This window comes from Homo sapiens, chromosome 3 (genome assembly GCF_000001405.40).
Source record: "Homo sapiens chromosome 3, GRCh38.p14 Primary Assembly".
NCBI classification, from domain to species: Eukaryota; Metazoa; Chordata; class Mammalia; order Primates; family Hominidae; genus Homo; species Homo sapiens.
This window is the reverse complement of record NC_000003.12, coordinates 32,028,266-32,051,418: the sequence shown is the minus strand read 5'-3', so window position 1 is coordinate 32,051,418 and position 23,153 is coordinate 32,028,266. Positions and strand designations below refer to the sequence as shown.

Here is a 23,153-nt window from a genome sequence, read left to right as displayed (position 1 = left end):
AAAAGTGTATTTCCTACCTAGTTATTCCACACCAAAGCTTTCTCATAATGAGAATTTCTGATAACGCTCCAAAAGGAAAAAAGTCAGATAACACAATGCAAAACAGAACAGATCCTTAGATTTTGAGAGGGATCTATCCATTTTGAATTCCTGGGGTTTCATGAGGAAAACAGATTTTTCCCAAAATGGAGTCTGTGGTGCCTCCTCTGTTTTCCCCAGCAGTCCCAGCCTGTTAGAAATTATCTTAGGTCCTCTCATGTGTGCATCAAGAGTAGCAAGAAGGCAAAATAGAGACAAACCATTCAGTCAACTGAGAAGAAAATAAAGCCTCTTTTCCAGAAAAACAAGAGCCAAGAAGAGAAAAAACATAAAGGCCTTCTAAATATATGTATAGCTTGGATATCCACTTTTAATTAAGCTGACTTTTAGCCAGTGAGCTTTTAAAAAAAATCCTTTTGTGGCTGGGCATGGTGGCTCACACTTGTCATCCCAGCACTTTGGGAGGCCGAGGTGGGCGGATCACCTGAGGTTGGGAGTTCGAGCCCAGCTGACCAACATGGAGAAACCCCATCTCTACTAAAAATACAAAATTAGCCGGGCATGGTAGCAGGCGCCTGTAATTCTAGCTACTTGGGAGGCTGAGGCAGGAGAATCACTTGAATTAGGGAGGCGGAGGTTGCGGTGAGCTGAGATTGCACCATTGTACTCCAGCCTGGGCAACAAGAGCGAAACTTCATCTCAAAAAAAAAAAAAAAAATCCTTTTGTATCTCTTATTACCTGACTTTAGCCAGGCCAAACAGCCAATATTTCTGGCCTTTGAACTTTACCAAAAGTAATCTCCCAGGTGAAACCAATAAGCCTTAACTAAGGTTATGACTTAACCATGAGTGTATGAGGTATTTTCAAAGATGTGGTTAGAAGTTTTTTCAAGATTTAGAAACACCAAAGGTAGCTCAGAGAAAGGAAGATTCAAGAAGGGAAGTTAGAAGTTGTTCATGGAGGAGAAGAGAATCAACAAATGGCAAAGATCACACAGATATCAAACCAGAAAGGACTCATTCCCAAAGCCAGAAATTGAACCCTGAATTCATGCCACCGTTGTGAAAAGAAAGCCTTAGCTACTAAGCTACAGCACTGGGCAGTCTCTATTGCTCTTCTCAGAAGGAGCCTAGAGCAGTCAATTTTGAGCTTGCAATGGCTTTTAACTGCTCAAGATATGTTTTAGAGCTATGACATAAACTCCAAAATTCCTGTCCTCCAGATGGCGAAGATCAAGAGAAAGTACTGCCCATGGTTACAAGGTCAAGCTCCTAAGGACCTTGGGACAAGAGGGAAACTTCATCCAGTTTTTGCTGCTGTTACACCAGATTCACTACAGCTTAAGACTAGCCTCACAAATCCTTTTTCCCATTAATCAAAACTTTGCAGAGAACACAGTGATTTTTACCATTCCTATAACAAGTTTTCATAGAAAGAGAGGAAAGGGAAGGGAGAAAAGTGTTGACTGCAGCGAGGTGGGGAAGGCAAGGAGCTCGGGGAGGCCAGAGAAAGACCTACCCATTGCACTAACACTGAATCAAAACTTCAGGCAGCTGCTTGCTGATCACCAAGGGATCTTTTCCAGTAGTCCCATCAGCTCTCAAGTTTTCCCATTTGGGGAAAAGAAAAGTTCTCCATGTCCCATAATCTTGTACATGCCTAATCCTGTCACTCATAGCCATCAGCAGAGAGTACAAGGCAGATTAATCCAAAGAGAATAGTGGTTAAGAACTCATAGTGCCAAATCCATTTTTAAGCAAGGGGGACTTTACTGAGAGGGGCCTCTAACCCCCTAAATCTTAGGAAGGATTCTAATCTTCCTAATTTGGGTCTTGCCTCAAACCCAAGTTTAATCAAGCATCCTTGCCTTTTATTAAGAGGAGCCTTTAACCCTCTCTGTCTTTAGAGAGACTCTCCTAAGTTGGGCCTCTAACCCAATCCTATCCTTTACCTGGGTAAAATGTATCCTACCACTTACCCAAAGTTGGCCAATTGGTGCTGCAATCTATGTCCTTGGGGTCAGGAGTCTCCCCAGTATAGTCCCTTCATGGTTGCCAGCAAGATGTTACTAAAAAGGGCTCCTGATCCAGACCCCAAGAGGGCGTTTTTGGACCTCGCACAAGAAAGAATTTGGGGTGAGTCTATACAGTAAAAGCAAGTTTATTAGGAAAGTAAAGGAATAAAGTAATGGCTGCTCCATAGGCAGAGCAGTGGCATGGGCTGCTCAACTGAGTATACTTATAGTTATTTCTTGACTATATGTTAAGTGAGGGGTGGATTATTCATAAGTTTTCTGGGAAATGGGCAGGGATTTCCTGGAACTGAGGGGTCCTTCCCTCTTTAGACCATATAGGGTAACTTCCGGATGTTGCAATGGCATTTGTAAACTGTCATAGCACTGGTAGGAGTGTCTTTTAGCATGCTAATGTTTTCTAATTAGTGTATAATGAGCAGTGATAACAACCAGAGGTCACTTTCATTGCCATGTTGTTTTTGGTGGGTTTTGGGATGCCAGCTTCTTTACTGCATCCTGTTTTATCAGCAAAGTCTTTATGACCTGTATCTTGTGCTGACCTCCTATCTCATCCTGTGACTAAGAATGTCTAAGCTCCTGGGATTATAGGTCTCAGCCTTATTTTACCCAGCCCCTATTCAAAATGGAGTTGCTCTGGTTCAAACACCTCTGACATGACCAGCTGGTAGTTGGATGGGGGGATTTAAAGGGGTATAGAGAAAAAAAACAGCTAGTCTATAGTAATAGTGTCTAAGAGAGGCTGGGCATGGTGGCTAACGCCTGTAATCCCACCACTTTAGGAGGCCAAGGCGGGTGGATCACCTGAGGTCAGGAGTTTGAGACCAGCCTGACCAACATGGTGAAACCCCGCCTCTACTGAAAATACAAAATTAGCCGGGCATGGTGGCGTATGCCTGTAATCGCAGCTATTTGGGAGGCTGAGGCAGGCGAATCACTTGAACCAGGAAGGCAGATGTTGCAGTGAGCGGAGATCGTGCCATTGCACTCCAGCCTGGGCAATGAGTGAAACTGTCTCAAAAAAAAAAAAAAAAAATAGTAGTAGTGTCTAGGAGAGATGACAGTATATAATGAGAATGGATTTTAGGAACAGGGGTCTTGAATATTTTGAGCAGAGGGATGAGAGGGAGAGATATCAGTGTTGGGAAGGGAAAGGAAAGAAAGCAAAATTAATAGGAACTGCCAAGTGCGGTGGTTAGAGGAAGAGATGTGGGGTTGTCAGAGGCATTTGAAGCATAGCAACTCCATCTTTAATAGGGGCTGGGTAAAATAAGCCTCAGGTTTGCTGGGCTGCATTCTTAGTCACAGGATGATATTGGAAGTCGGCAGGACTGGTATCACAAGATACAGGTCACAAGACTTTGTTGATAAAACAGGTTGTAGGCCGGGCGTGGTGGCTTATGCCTGTAATCCCAGCACTTTGGGAGGCCGAGGCGGGTGGATCACAAGGTCAGGAGATTGATACCATCCTGGCTAACATGGTGAAACCCCATCTCTACTAAAAACAATACAAAAAATTAGCCAGGCGTAGTGGCAGGTGCCTGTAGTCCCAGCTACTCGGGAGGCTGAGGCAGGAGAATGGTGTGAACCCGGGAGGCGGAGCTTGCAGTGAGCCGAGATCGCACCACTGCACTCCAGCCTGGGCGACAGAGCAAGACTCCGTCTCAAAAAAAAAAACAAAAAACAAAAAACAGGTTGTAGTAAAGATGCAGGCCAAAACCCACCAAAACCAAGATGGCGACAAAAGTGACCACTGGCTGTCCTCACTTCTCATTATACGCTAATTATAATGTAATAGCATGTTAAAAGACACCCCTACCAGCGCCATGACAGTTTATAAATGCCATGGCAACATCAGGAAGTTCCACTATATGGTCTAAAGAGGGGAGAACCCCTCAGTTCCAGGAAATCCCTGCCCCTTTCCGGGAAAACTCGTGAATAATCCACCGCTTGTTTAGCATATAATCAAGAAATAACCATAAAAATAGCCAACCAGCATCCCTCGGTGCTACTCTGTCTACGGAGTAGCCATTATTTTGTTTCTTTACTTCTCTAATAAACTTGTTTTCAAGGCCAGGCATGGTGGCTCAGCCTGTAATCCTAGCATTTTGGGAGGCTGAGGAGAGTGGATAGCTTGAGCTCAGGGATTCAAGACCAGCCTGGGCAACATGGCAAAACCCTGTCTCTACAAAGAATACGAAAATTAGCTGGGCTGGTGGCACACACCTAGAGTCTCAGCTATCTGGGAGGCAGAGATTAGCAGACGTTGCAGTGAGCCGAGATCGTGCCACTGCACTCCAGCCTGGGTGACAATAAGACCCTGTCTCAAAGAAAAACAAAACAAACTTGCTTTCACTAGACTCTATGGACTTACCCAGAATTCTTTCTTGAGTGAGATCCAAGAACCCTCTCTTGGAGTCTCGATTGGGACCCTTTTTCTGGTAACAGGGTCTGACTTCTTGCATGTCCCTGTTCCACCACTTAGTAGTTGTCTGTTTTAATTTAACTCTCTGTGCCTTAATTTCCTTTTCTGTAAAATGGGGATAATAATAGTAGCTATTCCATTAGATTCTTGTGAGAAGTACATGAAATCATGTAAATGATAGTGAATGCCCTACCTCTTGGTTAATGTATGGCAAATGTTCGCTGAATGGATGAATTGGTGGTTGGTTGGCTTAGCTTTGGGGCCAGTCTTTAACATTTACGATTTATAGTAAGAAAGTCTCTTGCTTTCCTTCCACAGCTATCCCCCATCCTCATCACTTTCCTATCTGGCTGCTGCAGCAGAAACATTTATTTAATAGGAAATAGAACTACTCATTCTGCAAGAAGAGTCTTTAAATTGCAGATGCCTGGGTGAGTTATTATATTTATATAAGTGGATTTTGTTTAAAGTGCAGACAGTGATCTCTGATTTCTTTTTGATTTGACAAAGAAAGGTACAATGAACTTGGAGTCTAAAGGTGGAAGAGCTAAAGCCACTGGGGTTGAGGAAAAAGCAAAAGGAATAGATGGGAGACAACCAGGACACATTTTAACACATTTTGATGAGGGCGTCAATTTTTAAAAGTAAGCAGTATTTTTATATAAGAAGGACCCCATTTTTCTTTTAGAGATAGGATCTCACTGTGTCACACAGGCTGGAGTCCAGTGGTATCACCATAGCTCAGTGCAACCTTGAACTCCTGATCCTCCCTCCTTGGCCTCCCAAAGTGCTAGGATTACAGGTGAGAGCAACTGTGCTGGGCTGAGGGCCCCATTTTTGCAATGCCAAAATATTCTGTATAATAAGTAAGAAATAAGAACCCACAGGAAAGTAGATTCAGGACAAACAACGGAACCGAGATTCTGGTGTTTGTTTGTTGTTTGTTGACTGGTCAAGTGCAGTATTAAGAAGTCAGGAAAGAGTGGAACAAGGAGTTCAACCTGTAACTGAGCAATCATTTGAGATAACTCACTATCTTCAAACAGGCAGAGATTCTGTTCTTTAAAAACATTGAGTAATCACACACACTGATTCTTAGGCTTCATCTGCTCACACCTGGTACACACCCATACAAATCCCTTCCTAGCTTTTTGTTTAATGCTGCTGAGTCAGCCCCGTTGGATGAGAGAGAAGGGAGGAAGCTTAGCTTCACTTTGTGAGCCACCCCCTCCCCCACAGCTTACTTCTAGGCAGATGTGGGAAGCCTTGAGAGGCTGGCATAGTTTCCAAGTTGGATGCCTCCTTTAAAAATGTCTGTTAATTCTGACTACAGGCTAGAGCTGTCAGTTTGGAACCCCTTTAGGTGGAAAGCCAAGCTTACGGTCATTCTATTATCGACCCTGTCTCATTTCCTGGTGACTTTTCACCGTGTACACAAAGCTTTCACCTTTTATGCCCTCTCCCAGCCTCTTGCCCAACAGTCTTGGCTGTCTTTTTGTAAACTGATCTGTTAGCATATACTCTATTATTAGTTTAGTCTTATCATAATCACCGTAACAGCTGCTGTTAAAATTTACTTTCACAACAGACATTAGTGTAATCTAGCTCCTAGTGGCTCAAAAGTGTTTTCTTGCATTTGTGAGAAACCCAGTAGAAGCTACAAGCAAAGGGACTTGGAATGCTTCCTGGTAGAATGCCTGCACCAGATGGGAGCCATACCCTGAATTGCCTTTGGAAAAGCAATCTATGCTCCATCCAGACTGTTTCTCATTCACACTAGCTCATGGCCCCACCCACTATGCCATCTTAAAAGGCAAGGCCTCTTCTATTTTGAAAACTTCCAACAACAAAAAATGTGGGTTAAGCAAAATTAAATGCTGTAAGTTATCTCACACTGCAAATTAATTTTAATAGGAAGACACAATTGATTTTTTCTGGAATCTTTCAAAGTAGAGCATTCATTTTGAGTTAGGCCTAGTTTGCCCTCAAAAATCAAGTTCCCTTCTCTGCAAATTTTAAGTAGAGGCTGCATTGAATTACTATTTCAAATAAGGTTGAGAAATAAGATTCTTTCAGCAAATAATTTTTTTGAGCATTATACAAGTTTATTCCTATTTATACTTAGTATATGGCATCTGTTATTTAGGATTCAGAATCTTTTTTTTTTTTTTTTTTTTTTTGAGATGGAGTTTCGCTCTTGTTGCCCAGGCTGGAGTGCAATGATGCAATCTTGGCTCACTGCAACCTCTGCCTCCCGGGTTCAAGCCATTCTCCTGCCTCAGCCTCCTGAGTAGCTGGGATTATAGGCATGTGCTACCACGCCTGACTAATTTTGTATTTTCAGTAGAGACTGGGTTTCTCCTGTTGGTCAGGCTTGGTCGCTAACTCCCGAGCTCAAGTGATCTGCCCGCCTTGGCCTCCCAAAGTGCTGGGATTACAGGTGTGAGCCACAGCACCCGACCAGGATTCAGAATCTTTATTAGATACAACTGTTTGCCATTAAAATTTTTTTAAATTATGTTATATATTATTATTATTATTTATTATATATATATTATTTCCCAACTAATATTCTTTGTATTGATAGGGGAATTCTTTTTAAGGTTTAGCCAGAAGTGATCAGAATAATATGAATCTTATATTACGAAAGATAGATTTGGAACACAAAATTTAACCTGAATAGCCTAGAAATGTTAAAATTAATACAATATATTTTGTATATTGACTTTACAGGGTGATTATAACATTGCAGAAGACCACAGCTTGGCTTGGTTTCAATATAAATATGTGGAATTTTCTTTTGTTAAAAAGTAATTTCAACTTTTATTTTAGATTTAAGGGATACATGTTCAGGCTTGTTACATTGGTATATTGTATGATGCTGTCACCAAAGTACCCAATAGGTAGTGAGCACAGTACCCAATAGGTAGTGAGCACAGTACCCAATAGGTAGTGAGCATAGTACCCAATAGGTAGTTTTTCAGCCCTTGCCCCCTCCCTCCATTCCCCCTCTAATAGTCCCCAGTGTCTATTGTTGCCATCTTTATGTCCGTGAGTACCCAATGTTTAGCTCTCACTTATAAGAGAACATGCGGTATTTCGTTTTCTGTTCCTACATTAATTCACTTAGGATAATGGCCTCCAGCTGCATCCATGCTGCTGCAAAGAACATGATTTCATTCTTTTTATGGCTGTGTCTTTTAGCAAATTATTTTTGAGTTCCTACTATGTGTAGGGCTCCCTGCTACACGTAGTGCTGGCCTTAGGAGAAAGGAGTGATAGTGTTGTGAGAAGTCAGGGATCCCAAACGGAGGGACCGGCTGGAGCCATGGCAGAGGAACATAAATTATGAAGATTTCATGGACATTTACCAGTTCCCAAATAATACTTTCATAATTTCTTACGCCTGTCTTACTTTAATCTCTTAATCCTGTTATCTTCGTAAGCTGAGGATGTACGTCATCTCAGGACCACTGTGATAATTGTGTTAACTGTACAAATTGATTATAAAACATGTGTGTTTGAACAATACGAAATCAGTGCACCTTGAAAAAGAACAGAAAATCAGCGATTTTCAGGGAACAAGGGAAGACAACCATAAGGTCTGACTGCCTGCAGGGTCGGGCAAAATACAGCCATATTTTTCTTCTTGCAGAGAGCCTATAAACGGACGTGCAAGTAGGGAAGATATCGCTAAATTCTTTTCCTAGCAAGGAATATTAATAATTAATACCCTGGGGAAGGAATGCATTCCTTGGGGGAGGTCTATAAACAGCTGCTCTGGGAGTGTCTGTCTTATGCAGTTGAGATAAGGGCTGAAATGTGCCCTGGTCTCCTGCAGTACCCTCAGACTTACTACGGTGGGGAAAAAACCCGCCCCAGTAAATTTGAGGTCAGACCAGTTCTCTGCTCTCGAACCCTGTTTTCTGTTGTTTAAGATGTTTATCAAGACAATACTTGCACTGCTGAACATAGACCCTTATCAGTAATTCTGCTTTTGCCCTTTGCCTTGTGATCTTTGCTTTTGCCCTTTGCCTTGTGATCTTTGGACCCTTATCAGGAGTTTCTGATTTTGTCCTTGTCCTGTTTCCTCAGAAGCATGTGATCTTTGTTCTCCTTTTTGCCCTTTGAAGCATGTGATCTTGTGACCTACTCCCTGTTCTTGCACCCCCTCCCCTTTTGAAATCCTTAATAAAATTTGCTGGCTTTAAGGCTCAGGTGGGCATCACGGTCCTACCGATATGTGATGTCACCCCCGGTGACCCAGCTGTAAAATTCCTCTCTTTGTACACTTTCTCTTTATTTCTCGGCCGGCCAACACTTATGGAAAATAGAAAGAACCTACATTGAAATATTGGGGGCAGGTTCCCCCAATATGATAGAGCATACAACTAAATCTTACACAAGTCAGACTAAGGGATCCATTCTGACCATGGAACTGAAGGTGGGTTTCAAAAAGGGGATGATGCTTTTGCTGAGCCTTTAAGGATGAATAGACTTTGACCTAGCGAAATAGAGAAGGGCATTGTTTCACTACCACTGCTGCATAATAAACAGCAAATTTAGTGGCAAAAAAACAAACCATGTTATTATGCACACAGATTCTGTGGGTCAGGAATTCAGAAAGGGTGCAACAGGGAAAGCTTGTCTTTGATCTGCCATGTCTGGGTCCTTAACTAGAAAGACTTAAAGGTGGGGGTGACCCCACAGATGGGAGGTGAAATTGTCTGAGAGCATCTTCATTCACATGTCTGGTGGCTAATACTGGCTATTATTGTATGAGGCCTTAGTGGAGCTGTGGGTAGAAAAACCTACCTATGGTCTCTCCACGGGCCTTCCTCATAGCAGGTAACCTTTGGGTGGCCAGATTTCTAATTTGGCAGCTCAGGGATCCCAGAGTGAGTGTCCCAAGAGAACCAGGTGGAAGCTGCATGGTATTTTCTACACTAGTTTCAGAAACTCAGCCAGGTGCAGTGGCTCACACCAGTAATCTTAGCACTTTGGGAGGTTGAGGCAGGCAGATCACCTGAGGTCAGGAGTTCGAGACCAGCCTGGCCAACATGGTGAAACACCCGTCTCTACTAAAAATACAAAAAATTAGCTGGGTGTGGTGGCACATGCCTGAAATCCCAGCTACCTGGGAGATTGAGGCAGGAGAATTGCTGGAACCTGGGAGGTGGAGGCTGCAGTGAGCCAAGATCATGCCACTGCACTCCAGCCTGAGTGACAGCAAGACTCTGTCAAAAAAAGAAAAAAGAAAGAAAGAAAGAAAAAGAAAGAAAGAGAAAGAAAGAAAGAAACTCAGTGGTATCACTTCCACAAGAGAGGCATCAATGTTGGCCAGCTCAGATTCAATAAGAAGTGATACGGACTATGGACTTCAGCCTCTTGATAGGAGGCGTGTGACCATTTTAAAGCCTGTCCTAAGTGTGCTGCAGCAGAAGGAAAGCAGAGACCTCACGGGGTGTTTCCAGCTGGCCTGTAGTCTGATGCTGCTGGCATTGTAGGTGTGAAGTAGAGTGGCAAAAGTGGGGTTGGAAATGTAGACTGGAACCACCATGTGAAAAAGTCTTTACTGCTTTGCGGCAAGTACCATATCTGAAGCCACAAATCACAGAAGAAATGACACTTTGTTTTTCTATGAGTTAATCTACTTTTCCTTTTGAGACATTCCATCAGGGCGTGGGAACTTAATCTCACTCAGTTCTGGGTAATCTCTGCCACCCTGGGTTGCCTGAGTTCAGTCCTCCCTCATTTTTTCTCTTGACACTGTCTCTAGAGTGGCATGGGGTGTATGTGGCACGGAGGAAGCTGGCTCCGGGCTAATTTCTGTCCAAGCGGGCACCTGCCCAGATATACCTGAACCTGTTTGGTTCTAGGCCATTGATTCAAGCAAGTTGCATCTGTGTTATTCCTGACTGCAGAGCTTCTTGAGGTCTAGTTCTATTTTAGCTAAAACTGTCCCCTTCATAGGGACACAGAGATAATCTCCTGTACCTCTCTGGAGCTGCAAGGAACAATGTAAGGTCATCTCAGTTCTTCTCTGTTCCCTACTGCACTTAAAAACAATTTTTAACTTTTATTAGAGATGGAGTCTCACTCTGTCACCAGGGCTGGAGTGCAGTGGCACCATTATAGCTCACTGCAGCCTTGAACTCCTGGGCTCAAGCAATCTTCCCACCTCAGCCTCCTGTTTAGCTAGGACTACAGGTGCATGCCACCACAGCCAGCTAATGTTTAAATTTTTTGGTAGAGACAGGGTCTCTCTATGCTTCCCAGGCTGGTCTCAAACTCCTGGCCTCAACTGATCCTCCCACCTAGGCCTCCCAAAGTGCTTTGCTTACAGGTGTGAGCCACTGTGTCTGGCCTATCTACTGGACTTTACTCCTATGCCAGGCCAGCTGCAAAGAACCCACCTCCTGGGTTCAAGTCATGCTCCTGTCTCAGCCTCCTGAGTGGCTGTGACTACAGGTGCATGCCACCACATCTGGCTAATTTCTATATATATATTTTTTGAGATGGGGTCTTGCTCTGTCGCCTAGGCTGGAGTGCAGTGGTGCAATGTTAGCTCACTGCAACCTCTGCCTCCCAGGTTCAAGCCATTCTCCTGTCTCAGCCTTCCAAGTAGCAGGGACTACAGGCACATGCCACCACACCCAGCCATTTTTTGTATTTTTAGTAGAGACAGGGGTTCACCATGTTGGCCAGGCTGGTCTCGAACTCTTGACCTCAGGTGATCCGCCCTCCTGGGCCTCCCAAAGTACTGGGATTACAGGCATGAGCCACCGTGCCTGGCCTCTGTTTTCAATTCTCTGAGTATACTGCCTTAAACTAGGAGTGGAGTTGTTGAGTCATATTATAATTTGGTTTTACTTATTGACGAACTGCCAAACTTTGTCTCAGGCCCTTAAAACACAAAGCTGGCCCATGTCCTTCCTTGGTCAAGATTCATTGTTCTTTTACCGTACTGTTGAATTTGATCTGCCAGGGTTTTATTTAGGATTTTCACACCTATCCGTGAGTGAGACTGTCTTTGTCAGGCTTTGGTAAAAGGATTATGATTAGTCAGCTTCATAAGTTTCCATCTTCTACATATATTGTATATTATAATATTATAGATTATGGAAATGATCTATTTCTCCAGTTATAGAATACATAACACAAACATGAGTATTTTGAATTATAAACTTTCAATATCACTTTTAATGATTTTGTTTGCTTCTCCTTAAAATAATCTAAGTAATTTATATTTTCTTTTTTTTTGAGACAGAGTCTCACTCTGTCACCCAGGCTGGAGTGCAATGACGTGATCTCAGCTCACTGCAATCTCTGCCTCCCAGGTTCAAGCGATTCTCCTGCCTTAGCCTCCCGGGAAGCTGGGATTACAGGTGCCCACCAACACACCCAGCTAATTTTTTGTATCTTTAGTAGAGACAGGGTTTCACCATGCTGGCCAGGCTGGTCTCGAACTCCTGACCTCCTTGTTATCTGCCCGCCTCGGCCTCCCAAAGTGCTGGGATTATAGGCATGAGCCACCATACCCAGCCCTCTTTTTTTTTTTAATTAACTAATTAATTAATTTATTTATTTATTTTTGCAACAGAGTCTTGCTCTGTTGCCCAGGCTGGAGTGCAGTGGCATGGTCCCGGCTCACTGCAACCTCCACCTCCCAGGTTCAAGCGATTCTTGTGCCTCAGCCTCCTAAGTAGCTGAGATTACAGGCACGTCCCACCATGCCCAGCTAATTTTTCTGTATTTTTGGTAGAGACAGGGTTTCACCATATTGGCCAGGCTGGTCTTGAACTCCTGACCTCTTGATCCACCTGCCTCAACCTCCCAAAAGTGCTAGGATTACAGGCATGAGCCACCATGCCCTGACCCTCTTTATAAACTTTTTAATAGCTCCTAAGTTTTTATTATTCCTTTTATTGTTGTCTAGTTTTTCAATTAATTTTTTTTATTTTGTCTCTGTACTTGACTTGTAACAGTCTTTTAGTCCACCTTAACTTCTAGATAAGGTATTTTGTCCGTTTATTTTACTTTTCTTGCCTAGGATTTGCTTTTCGGAACTGCTTTATTAGGTTATAATTTTCCTACTTAAAATTCATCCATGCTGAGTGTACAATTAAATGATTTTTAGTAAACATACTGAGTTGTGCAAACATCACCACAATCCAGTTTTAGCACATTTCTGGCACTCTGAAAGATCCCTTATGCCCATGTACAGTTGATCTTCATTCCTATCTTCAGCCTCAGACAAGCACTGGTTTGATTTCGGTATCTATAAATTTGCTTTTTCTGGCTGGGTGTGATGACTGACGCCTGTAATCCCAGCACTTTGGGAGACCGAGGTGGATGGATCACTTGAGGCCAGGAGTTTGAGACCAGCCTGACCAACAAGGTGAAACCCTGTTTCTATAAAAAATACAAAAATTAGTTGGGTGTGGTGGCACACGCCTGTAATCCCAGCTACTCCGGAGGCTGAAGCAACAAGAATCACTTGAACCCGGGAGCCGGAGATTGTGCTGAGCCAATATTGCACCATTGCAGCCTGGCTGACAGAGTGAGACGCTGGCTCAAAAGAAAAAAAAGGAAAAATACTTGGTTTTTCTGGATATTTCATTATAAATGGAATCCTGTTATATCATGTGGTCTTTTGCATCTGGCTTTTTCTCCTGGCCGTAATGTTTTTGGGGCTCGCCTGTGTTGTAGCATGTATTGTATGCAGCAGGTAATACATTCTGACTTTTTAGATTGTGCTTATCCACATCTTTCTAAGGGCTCTTTCCCTGGACTCATGTAGCTTCCTCCTAAGACTGTGGAAAGCCATACTTTGCAAAGGCTCGAGGGAACACTGCAGATCTCTGGAACTCTCTCTTGGTACAACTTCCTTATCTCTGGTACATTGCTCCATAAATTGTGGATATTTTCTAAAATCTTTCTCTGTTCTGATATAAAAACATTTCACAGCAGTGTTTTCTCTCTAAGATCTCAGGACAATGCTCCCTTTCCCTTAAGTTGCAGAGTCTTTCCTAGGATATATGAAGTCTGTTTTCACTCCTCCATGAAGCAGTGAGCTCTTTCAAGGCCTGGGATTGTCACTGGGCAGATATGTGGGCTGTTCTTCTCTCCCTCCGCTGCAGAGGAAGTGTCAGATTTCCCCCCTCAGGCTGAGAGACAACTGGGTGGAGGTTGATCTGCACTCTCCCCAGAGCAATTTCTGGTGCCTAGTGGATTCTCTTTTATCATTTTTTTTCTTTTTCTTTTTTCTTATATCTCCTCAAGAAAACATAGCACCATCAAATGCCATGGCATCCTATAGAGAACTTCCATCTTTGGTCGCAGTGTTAAGAGCTCTTGGTTTCACAGCCTCACAAGACCTCTTTGAAATGACCTATCTTTTCTCGTTAAAAAAATTGAAAAAAAAAATTTTTTTAGAAATGGGGGTCTTGCTATGTTGCCCAGTCTGGTCTTGTACTCCTGGCCTCAAACAGTCCTCCCACCCTGGCCTCCCAAAGTGCTGGGATTACAGGCATGAGCCACCACACCTGGCCCTTAGTGGGCTTTCTGAAAGAAGCAAAACTTTTTTCCTGTTTTCATTCTAGGATTTTCTGACTGCAATACCAGTTCAAGAACATGCCTAAACAAATGAAAGCTTCTGCAGAGGGCAGTGCAGTCACAGAAGGCTGACTGCCTCCTGCTTGTGTAACCAGCTCTCCCAGTGAGCCCGCAGTTCCTGTTCTCTCTGTCACACGGGGTACGTAGGGGAGCTTTTCTTCCAGCATGTACTGTTCTAGGGGTACTGCCTGACAGGATACTCATCTCCCAAGATGCCCCTGGGCTAGGCAGTGGATACATCAAGTCCTAGTAATTGTCACTGAATGGTTACAGAAAGAGGCAGGTGGGGGTTGGGGGTAGTAAGGTAAAACTTTGGTTTAGATCAGTTTAGATCAAGCCAGCCTGTCTATACTAGTAGGACTTCTGCCTAGTTGCTTGGTTAGAATGAGGATAAGTAAGCTCCTTGTGGCTGTCCATGGTTCAAGAGCCGAGTGAGTATCATCAGGAATGTGGGTTTTTTTCTTTTTCTTTTTTTTTTTTGAGACACGAGTCTCACTCTGTTGCCCAGGCTGGAGTGCAGTGGTGCCATCGTGGCTCACTGCAGCCTCAAACTCCTGGGCTCAAGCAATCCTCCTGCCTCAGACTCCCAAAGTGGTGGGACTACAGGCATGAGCTACCATCCCTGGCCTATGAATGTGTCTACTGTTAGTGTCCCAACACATTGCATTTAGTGGAAACGTCTCTCAGATTTTGGCAAGTGGTCTTCCTTATCTATCACTCCTTTCAGGGACCAGCATCTTACTAAGTTGGGAAGGCACTGGTGGTTTACCCCATGGTAACCTTGAGGCAATCTAAGGATTTTTTATTTGGTTCTGGAGGAATTGGAAAACCTGTGAGCTTTCCAGGCAGAAGTGGTGAGTTAGGTGGATTATAGGTCAGAATTGTGCCACCTGGGCAGTGGCAATTGGAATGCAGAGGAATCAATAGTTCCTTGTTTTTTCTCTTAAATTTTTTTTGGCTGGGTGCAATGGCTCATGTCTGTAATCCCAGCACTTTTGGAAACCAACGCAGGAGGATGGCTTAAGGCCAGAGGTTTGAGACCAGCCCAGGCAACATAGCGAGATCCATCTCTACTAAAAATTAAAAAGATTAGCCGGGCGTGGTGTCACATGCCTGCCATCCCAGCTACTCAGGAGGCGAAGGCAAGAGGATTGCTTGAGCCCAGGAGATGGAGGCTGCAGCGATCTAGGAATGTGCCACTGCACCCCAGCCTAGGTGACAAAGCAAGAACCTGTCTAAAAAAATTTTTTTAAATTGTGATAAAATATACATAATGAAGTATGCAGAGTAGTTGGATTCATGAAGACAGAAAGTATGACAGTGGTCACCAAAGACTGGGGGGAGGGTGGAATGGGGAGTTACTGTTTGATGGATACAGAGTTTCAATTTGGGAAGATGAAAACAGTTCTGGAGATAGATGGTAGTGATGGTTGCACCATGTGAATGTGACTTAATGCCACCCAATTGTACACTTAAAAATGGTTACAATGATACATTTTATATCATAATATTTTAACTTCTATTATCTGTCTCTATAAATTTGCGTCTAATTTTTTGCTTTTTAAATCTGTGAAGATAGCATAGGTTCTTTTCCTACCAGAAAGTTGGAGGATAGAGGGAAGAGATATTCCTTTAAGATCTCTTCCAAACCTATTATTTTTCTCTATTTTTATTTAAAGAATTAGTGTCTGATCCTATTTTATGAATTAACATGTCTGATTTTTTTTTTTTTTTTTTTTTTGAGACAGAGTTTCACTCTTGTTGACCAGGCTGGAGTGCAGTGGCATGGTATCAGCTCCCTGCATCCTCTGCCTCCCAAGTTCAAGCCATTCTCCTGCCTCAGCTTCCTGAGTAGCTAGGATTACAGGCGTGCACCACCATGTCCAGCTAATTTTTGTATTTTTAGTAGAGACATGATTTTGTCATGTTGGCCAAGCTGGTCTCGAACTCTTGAGCTCCAGTGATCTGCCTGCCTTTGCCTCCAAAAGTGCTGGGATTACAGGCATGAGCCACTGTGCCCAGCCTGATTCTTCAGAGTTGTAAGTTTTTGTTTTATTATATTTTTTCTATAAAGTACATTTTCTTTCTTTCTTTTCTTTTTAAAATAATTTTCTTCAGGCAGGCTCCCAAACCAGAGTAGGCTCAGACTCCTCTATGAAGTACATTTATGGTATATCCTACGGCCCCACTCTCCTATCTCCTCATTCTCTCTGGTGTGGCTAGCTGTATGTGTGATGTGAATGTCTGAGTGTAGACACTGCTGCTTCCATGAAACAACTTCAGTTAACAGTTATGGGAAAACCCCATGTTCATGTATTAAAGTCCTGTTACTAGAATTATCACTCTGTGAATTTATATACATGATAACTTCTTTTTCTCAGCTCTGGAATAATAGCTGTATACTTGATATTTATTTTGATATATTTTGCACATTTATGTAGTTGTAAATTGATTTACCATGTATTGATTAAGCCTGATTTTCATAGACACTGTCTGATATAGTGTGGATAAGTCTAAATTCAGCAATACTGACTTTGCAAAGTGACCATGAAATTGTTACATATTGGCTGATACAATATCTTGACTGACATTGACTCACTGATTATAGCATATTAGGTGATGAATTGGAGACAAATTAGTATCTCCCTTGCAGGTACAGGGCAGTAAAATTATTTATTTTCTTGGAAAGCACTGTGATGAGCATCACTTTCTTCAGCTGGAAATCTTAGTGTTGATTCTTCTTCTGTTCTGGAGCCTGTGATTGATTGGACTCTAATTATTGACAACTTTTCTAGGAAGTCTCAGAGCTTTTAGAGGGGAGAGTATTTACATTTGGTAGAAAATCTTTTTTTTTTTTTTTTCCGCTACAGGGTCTCGCTCTGTCACCGAGGCTGGAGTGCAGTGGTGCCATCTCTGCTCACTGCAGCCTCAGCCTCCCAGACTCAAGTGATCCTCCCATCTCAGACTCCCTCTCAGCTGGGACTACAGGCTGGGGCCACCATACCTGGCTAATCTTTTTATTTTTTGTAGAGATGGAGTCTTGCTAATATGGTTTGGCTCTGTGTCCCCACCCAAATCTCACCTCTAATTGTAATCCCCGTAATCCCTACACGTCAAAGGTGGGATCAGGTGGAGGTAATTGGCTCATGGGGGCAGTTTCCCCTATGCCGTTCTCCTGATAGTGAGTGAGGCTCATGAGATCTGATGGTTTTATAAGCATCTGGCATTTCCCCTGCTTGCACTCACTCCATCCTTCTGCCCTGTGAAGAATTGCCTACTTCTTTGCCAGCCGCCATGATTGTAAGTTTCCTAAGGTGTCCCTAGCAATGTAGAACTGTGAGTCAATTAAACCTCTTCCTTTATAAATTACCCAGTCTTGGATATTTCTTCATAACAGTGTGAGAATGGACTAATATCCTTGCTATGTTGCCCAGGCTGATCTCAAACTCCTGGGCTCAAGCAATCCTCCTGCCTCAGCCTCCCAAAATGCTGGGATCACAGGCATGAGCCACTGCACCTGGCCTGATAGAAATTCTTAATTTCTCACCTTTCCTCTTTCTTTACACTAAAGAATAAGAAAAGCCAATAACAATGGCTGCTATTGGCTTACTGTCTTAAAGGCAGATAAGTCTTCTCACTTTGGGGCCAAATGTCTCATAAAACCTATCATAGAGTGTATGAATACCGTTAATGAAACTCTGTCTCTTTTTTACACAGTCTAGGGAAGTTGATATCACTTGTGGCTGACAATAAATTTGTATCTGGATATTCTTATAAATTTTCTAATACAGCATTTATTGGCTGCAATACAGAGTTATATCACCCTTTTACTAGAAAGGAGATATTTCTCTGCATTCCATGTACTCCTTCAACAAGTATTTTTTGAGTGCCTTCTAGGTGCCAGCTACTTTATAATTAAATTCCTAATCTTAGGACTGGCATCCGTGGTTTGTCAGATTTTAAATTCCACAGGATCATGTAAGTTCAAGTTAATTAATTCTAGGTACTAAAAAATAAGACTTCCTGTTAAGACAACAATTAATTTTACAAGATTAATATAGATATTTGAAAGGCTTCTTGGAATTGAAACAGCTCTTAAGACCTTCAAATTTTGACAAGTTGAACCAAAATGATTCAACAACAGCAAAAAACCACTGAGCTTTAATATACATTTCAAATTGTTTTATGATATCAGAAATAATAGGAGAACTGTTCAGTAACACACAACTTGTAAAATCTAAAAACATTTTAAAGGAAATTCATCACATTATAATTTGACAAGCCCCTAAATATGACTACTGAAAACAGGCATTAATAACTGGAATGACTGTTTTACATTTTATTGCTGATAGCGAATGGGTCTTGAGTAAAGATGTGAATTTTCTTTCAATGGTCCTCCAACAACAACAAATCTTATTTTATAAAATTCCATATTAATGGAGAGTTCATTTGAGAGTAAGCCAACTGTAATTTTTCCTAAGGTTTTCAAACAAGAATCCAAAACATACATCCATTGAATTGAAGTCTAACACAATTCGTTATCCTAGAAACATTAAAGAGCTGGAGATTAACAGTGTTATCACCTCAACTTAAGTCAACTGTTCAATAGAATTAAAAATTGGAGATGTAGTAATTCTCATATTCTTGTTTCTTTTCATATTCACAAAAAAATATCCAGTGTCCTATTTAAGTGGCATTTCAACTTAAGCTAAAACTTAATTCTTCTTCTTTTCCTGCTTTGCTTTCTTTTGGTGGAGGAGGGGTCATGCAAGAAGGAACTTAGTCCTAAAAACAAAATATATAGATTGCCATAGATTTTATTTCATTTTATTGTTTTTTGTCATTTTTCTTTTTACTTATTTAATTTTTAATTAATTAGTTAATTAATTATTTTTAGACAGAGTCTCACTCTGTCGCCCAGGCTGGAGTGGCATGATCTCGGCTCACTGCAACCTCTGCCTCCCGGGTTCAAGAGATTCTCCCACCTTAGCCTCCTGAGTAGCTGGGATTACAGGTGCCCCCCATCATGCCTAATTTTTGTATTTTTAGTAGAGATGGGGTTTTGCCATGTTGGCCAGGCTGGTCTTGAACTCCTGACCTCAAGTGATCCACCTGCCTTGGTCTCCCAAAGTGTTGGGATTACAGGCATGAGCTTTCATGCCTGGCCTATTTATTTTTAAAATAGAGATGGGGTCTTATTATATTGCCCAGGTTGGTCTCAAACTCCTGGGCTTCAGCAATCCTCCTGCCTCAGCCTCCCAAAGTACTGGAATTATAGGCATGAACTACCATGCCTGGTCAGCCTTAAGATTTCAAAGGAGCAATTCTTAAAATGACTCATCTTTCCTAAATATCTGGGTTTAATTCCGAAATATTCTAAGATTTCAAACTCATTTTTCTATTGCATTTATATTTCCTATTTCTCATTGCTTTTAAGAGGAAATGCATTTCCTATGTTAGCTTTATCCTTGAGTCTATTTCTGAATATTTGTTGAAAAAAGTACTAACATCAGAATTTTATGGATTCTTTTAGTATATTAAAAGCCTTTTGGCTGGGCACGGTGGCTTACGCCTGTAATCCCAGCACTTTGGGAGGCCGAGGTGGGTGGATCACATGAGGTCAGGAGTTCGAGACCAGCCTGGCCAACTTAGTGAACTCCCATCTCTACTAAAAATACAAAAATTAGCCGGGCGTATGCCTGTAGTCCCAGCTACTTGGGAGGCTGAGGCAGGAGAATCACTTGAAACTGGGGGGCAGAGGTTGCAGTGAGCCAAGATCACGCCACTGCACTCCAGCTGGGGTGACAGAGTGAGACTCTGTCTCGAAAAAAAAAAAAAAAATTATTTAAGAAGCCTTTCAGGTTAAATAACTGAAGAGAATCTAAAAATATTGTTGCAAGAAGTAGGCTGCTGATTCAAATCACATCTTTAAAAAAAAATCCAACATATGAAAATAAAAAAGTTTTAAATACCAGTGACCTTGATTTCATCTATGGGCTTAAGATACATTTTAGATTCAAATATGATAAACACAGTTACTCTCCCTGAAATTGTAAAATAGTGAAGTCTTTTTCATTCTTGTTTGTCACTTAAGTTCTCCTCAATTGTTTTCTTTTTTCTTTTTCTTTTCTTTTTTTTTTGAGATGGAGTCTCTCTTGGTCGCCCAGGCTAGAGTGCAGTGTCACGACTCAGCTCACTCCAACCTCTGCCTCCCAGGTTCAAGCAATTCTGCCTCAGCCTCTCCAGTAACTGGGATTACAGGCACCTGCCACAACGCCAGGCTAATCTTTTTGTATTTTTAGTAGAGACGAGGTTTTACCATGTTAGGCAGGCTGGTCTCGAACTCCTGACCTCAGGTGATCCACCCGCCTCGGCCTCCCAAAGTGCTGGGATTACAGGTGTGAGCCACCGCGCCCGGCCTCCTCAATTATTTTCAATCTTTCTATTTCCCTTGTCAAAATATTTCATGTAATCTTATCATTCCCTTGAGATAAGGAATTGCTGTTGGAGAAAATGTGTTTCCAAACAGAGAATATTTTATGTAACTTAAGGGTTTTGCTTAGTAATTTTTTATTTATTTATTTATTTTTACAGTCCAGAGGTCTTTTATTTTTTTTAACACCTATTATGCCATGAATTCATAGGGAATAGGTTCCAGCAGCTCAGGCTACTTCCCATTGGTTCTCACAAAGTGTGCTTCTCTGGGTGGAGCAGGCGGGCGCTTCAGTTGAACCCAGGTACGTTTGTCTTTGGCTTCTTTCTTTTTCTGATCATTTTCCTTCACGCATTTTAGGAAGCGATCTCAGCCCTTAGAGTGCTTAATACGCTTAATACGCACATTAATTCTCTTGGCAAGAATCTTGCCCTTAACTTGTTTCTTTACCACAATGCCAGCAGCATGCTGGGTCACATTGTAGACTCTTCCAGTTTAGCCATGGTGCCTCTTGTGGGGCATTCCTTTTTGAACGGCGCCCATTCCCTTGATTTCCACAGTATCACCTTTCTTATAGATTCGCATACACGTGGCCAAAGGAACAACTCCATGTTTTCTAAAAGGCCTGGAGAACATGTATCACGTGTCTCTCCTCTTTCCCTTGGCGTTCGTCATTTTGGCAAATTACTGGAAGATGGCGGTTCTGGCCGAAAGGAAGCAGTAAAATTTTTATCACTTGCTTTCTTAAGAAAATTTAGATATCATAAATTTAGCCTCTAACCTTCTTTGACATATTCTCTATTCTCATTTTATGACTCAGTCTCTTCTGTTTTATTTAATGGCTTAATAGAGTCATGTTTGAAACTGGGTGGAAAGCAATTTCAGGAAATGGTTTACAAGCTACTTTTAATGGGTACTGTTAGAGTGTTTATTGCTTTCAGATATAAAATTATTATTAAAAATTATTTGTTGGTTGCTGGTGGTTGTGCTTGGAGCTATGAGAGACATAAAGAAGCTGCAATCACTGTCCTGTGCCCCATTATGTGGCAAATAAAAACTATGTGTCTTTACGTGGTTTCTCTGGCTCTACCTGAGATATTTTCCCCTCTAGGGAATGGACATTGGTTACAGTGAGATGATGCATTTTCATCTTATTTTTATTGGCTCTCTTTTCATGAGTATTAGATTCCTTGGTAGTCAAGCTGAACTCCCTAAGAGGAAACACTAGGTCAGTGAAGTATATCAATGGCCTTTATAAGAACATGATGTTGATTCATGATTGCGAGACTTGCATTAGGGTTTGCCTTGCTCATATTGTTACCGGCAGAACATATCCGTATCTGTACAGGTCTGCAGCAACCTCAATTCTTGCCTCCTCAGAAGAAAGGATTTCACTGAGGGGGATAATGCAGAAGGAGAGACTGGGGCAAGTTTCTGAGCAGGAGTGAAAGTTTATTAAAAAGCCTTAGAACACCAACATGGCACATGTATACATATGTAACAAACCTGCACGTTGTGCACATGTACCCTAAAACTTAGAGTATAATAATAATAAAATAAAATTAAAAAGCCTTAGAACAGGAATGAAAGGAAGGAAAGTACACTTGGAAGAGGGCCTGGCAGGCAACCTGAAAGGCAAGTGTGTGGTTTGACCTTTTGACCTGGGGTTTTATATGTTGGCATACTTCTGGGGTCTTGAATTTCTTCTTTCATCCCACTTACCTAACTCCTGAGAGCTTATCAGGAAACTGCTGATCACCAGTTTCAGGTGTTACCTATTATGAGGCTGCCTTTCACTGGTGCCGGCTGTGACCAATTATTACCGTAGCAGGGCAGTTAACAACAGCCTGACCATCACCTGATGGCCACCCAACATTCCTGGTGTGTGTGTGTGTGTGTGTGTGTGTGTGTGTGTGTGTGTGTGTGTGTGTGTGTGTGTGTGTCCTGACTAGCTACCTACTGTAACAATATCTGTAAGTAGATGTTTGAAATAATCTTAGAGATTAGAGTCATGAGTTTTGGAGGGGACAAATATTCAAACCTTCCATGTTCTCTCTTTTCTTCTACCTTCCATCAATTATTTCTCACAAAAGGGGCAGATTTCTTAGCCATAGAAAAGGAAAGATGACAAAAATGAAGAGGATACCAAACAAGTTAAAATATAAAACAGGAGAGCAAGAGAGTCTATGGATACCAGAAGTTTCCAAACTCCTTAAAGAGCATAAAATGTAAAACCCACCTCTTTGTAACATTTCTTCCTATTTAAGAAAAGAGGAGAAATCAGTTTCATATTGCAATTTGATGTGTATATTGTGTGTGTATATGTGTATGTATGTATCCAAAACACAGATTTTACAAATCAATACTTGTGATGCATACTATTATCTATTCTGTGATTGATGGCTGGGATTTAAAGGTTGAAGTAAAGAGCCAAGATGACTTCTGGTCTTTGGTTTAAGCAATTGGGTTGGGTGGTAGTACTGTTTACTGAGATAGAGAAAATGCAAGAGGAAATGTTTTGAAAGTTTAGAGAGAAGAAAGTGAATGAAATAATGATTTCTGATTTGGCCTTTTATGTTTGAGTTCCTTAGTATAGTGGTTCTCA

The 23,153-nt window shown here is 41.9% G+C and overlaps 1 protein-coding gene, 1 non-coding gene and 1 pseudogene across 5 annotated transcripts in view; 1 reads left to right on the top strand and 2 right to left on the bottom strand.

The window, feature by feature from the left end:
- The window catches only part of OSBPL10 (oxysterol binding protein like 10), a 416,868-nt gene that overhangs the window by 26,274 nt on the left and 367,441 nt on the right, over positions 1–23,153 (top strand). For all 4 annotated transcript variants that reach the window (XM_047447390.1, XM_047447386.1, XM_047447389.1 and 1 more), the window contains exon 2: positions 4,816–4,928. In XM_047447390.1, the coding sequence (XP_047303346.1) occupies positions 4,921–4,928 (8 nt within the window). In that variant the 5' untranslated portion in view covers positions 4,816–4,920. The remainder of the gene's footprint in view (positions 1–4,815; positions 4,929–23,153) is intronic.
- Positions 13,766–13,893, bottom strand: LOC124900559 (small nucleolar RNA SNORA25). Its single transcript, XR_007096308.1, has one exon. It is a non-coding gene; the product is annotated as a small nucleolar RNA SNORA25 (small nucleolar RNA).
- RPL21P40 (ribosomal protein L21 pseudogene 40) lies at positions 20,708–21,265 on the bottom strand (annotated as a pseudogene).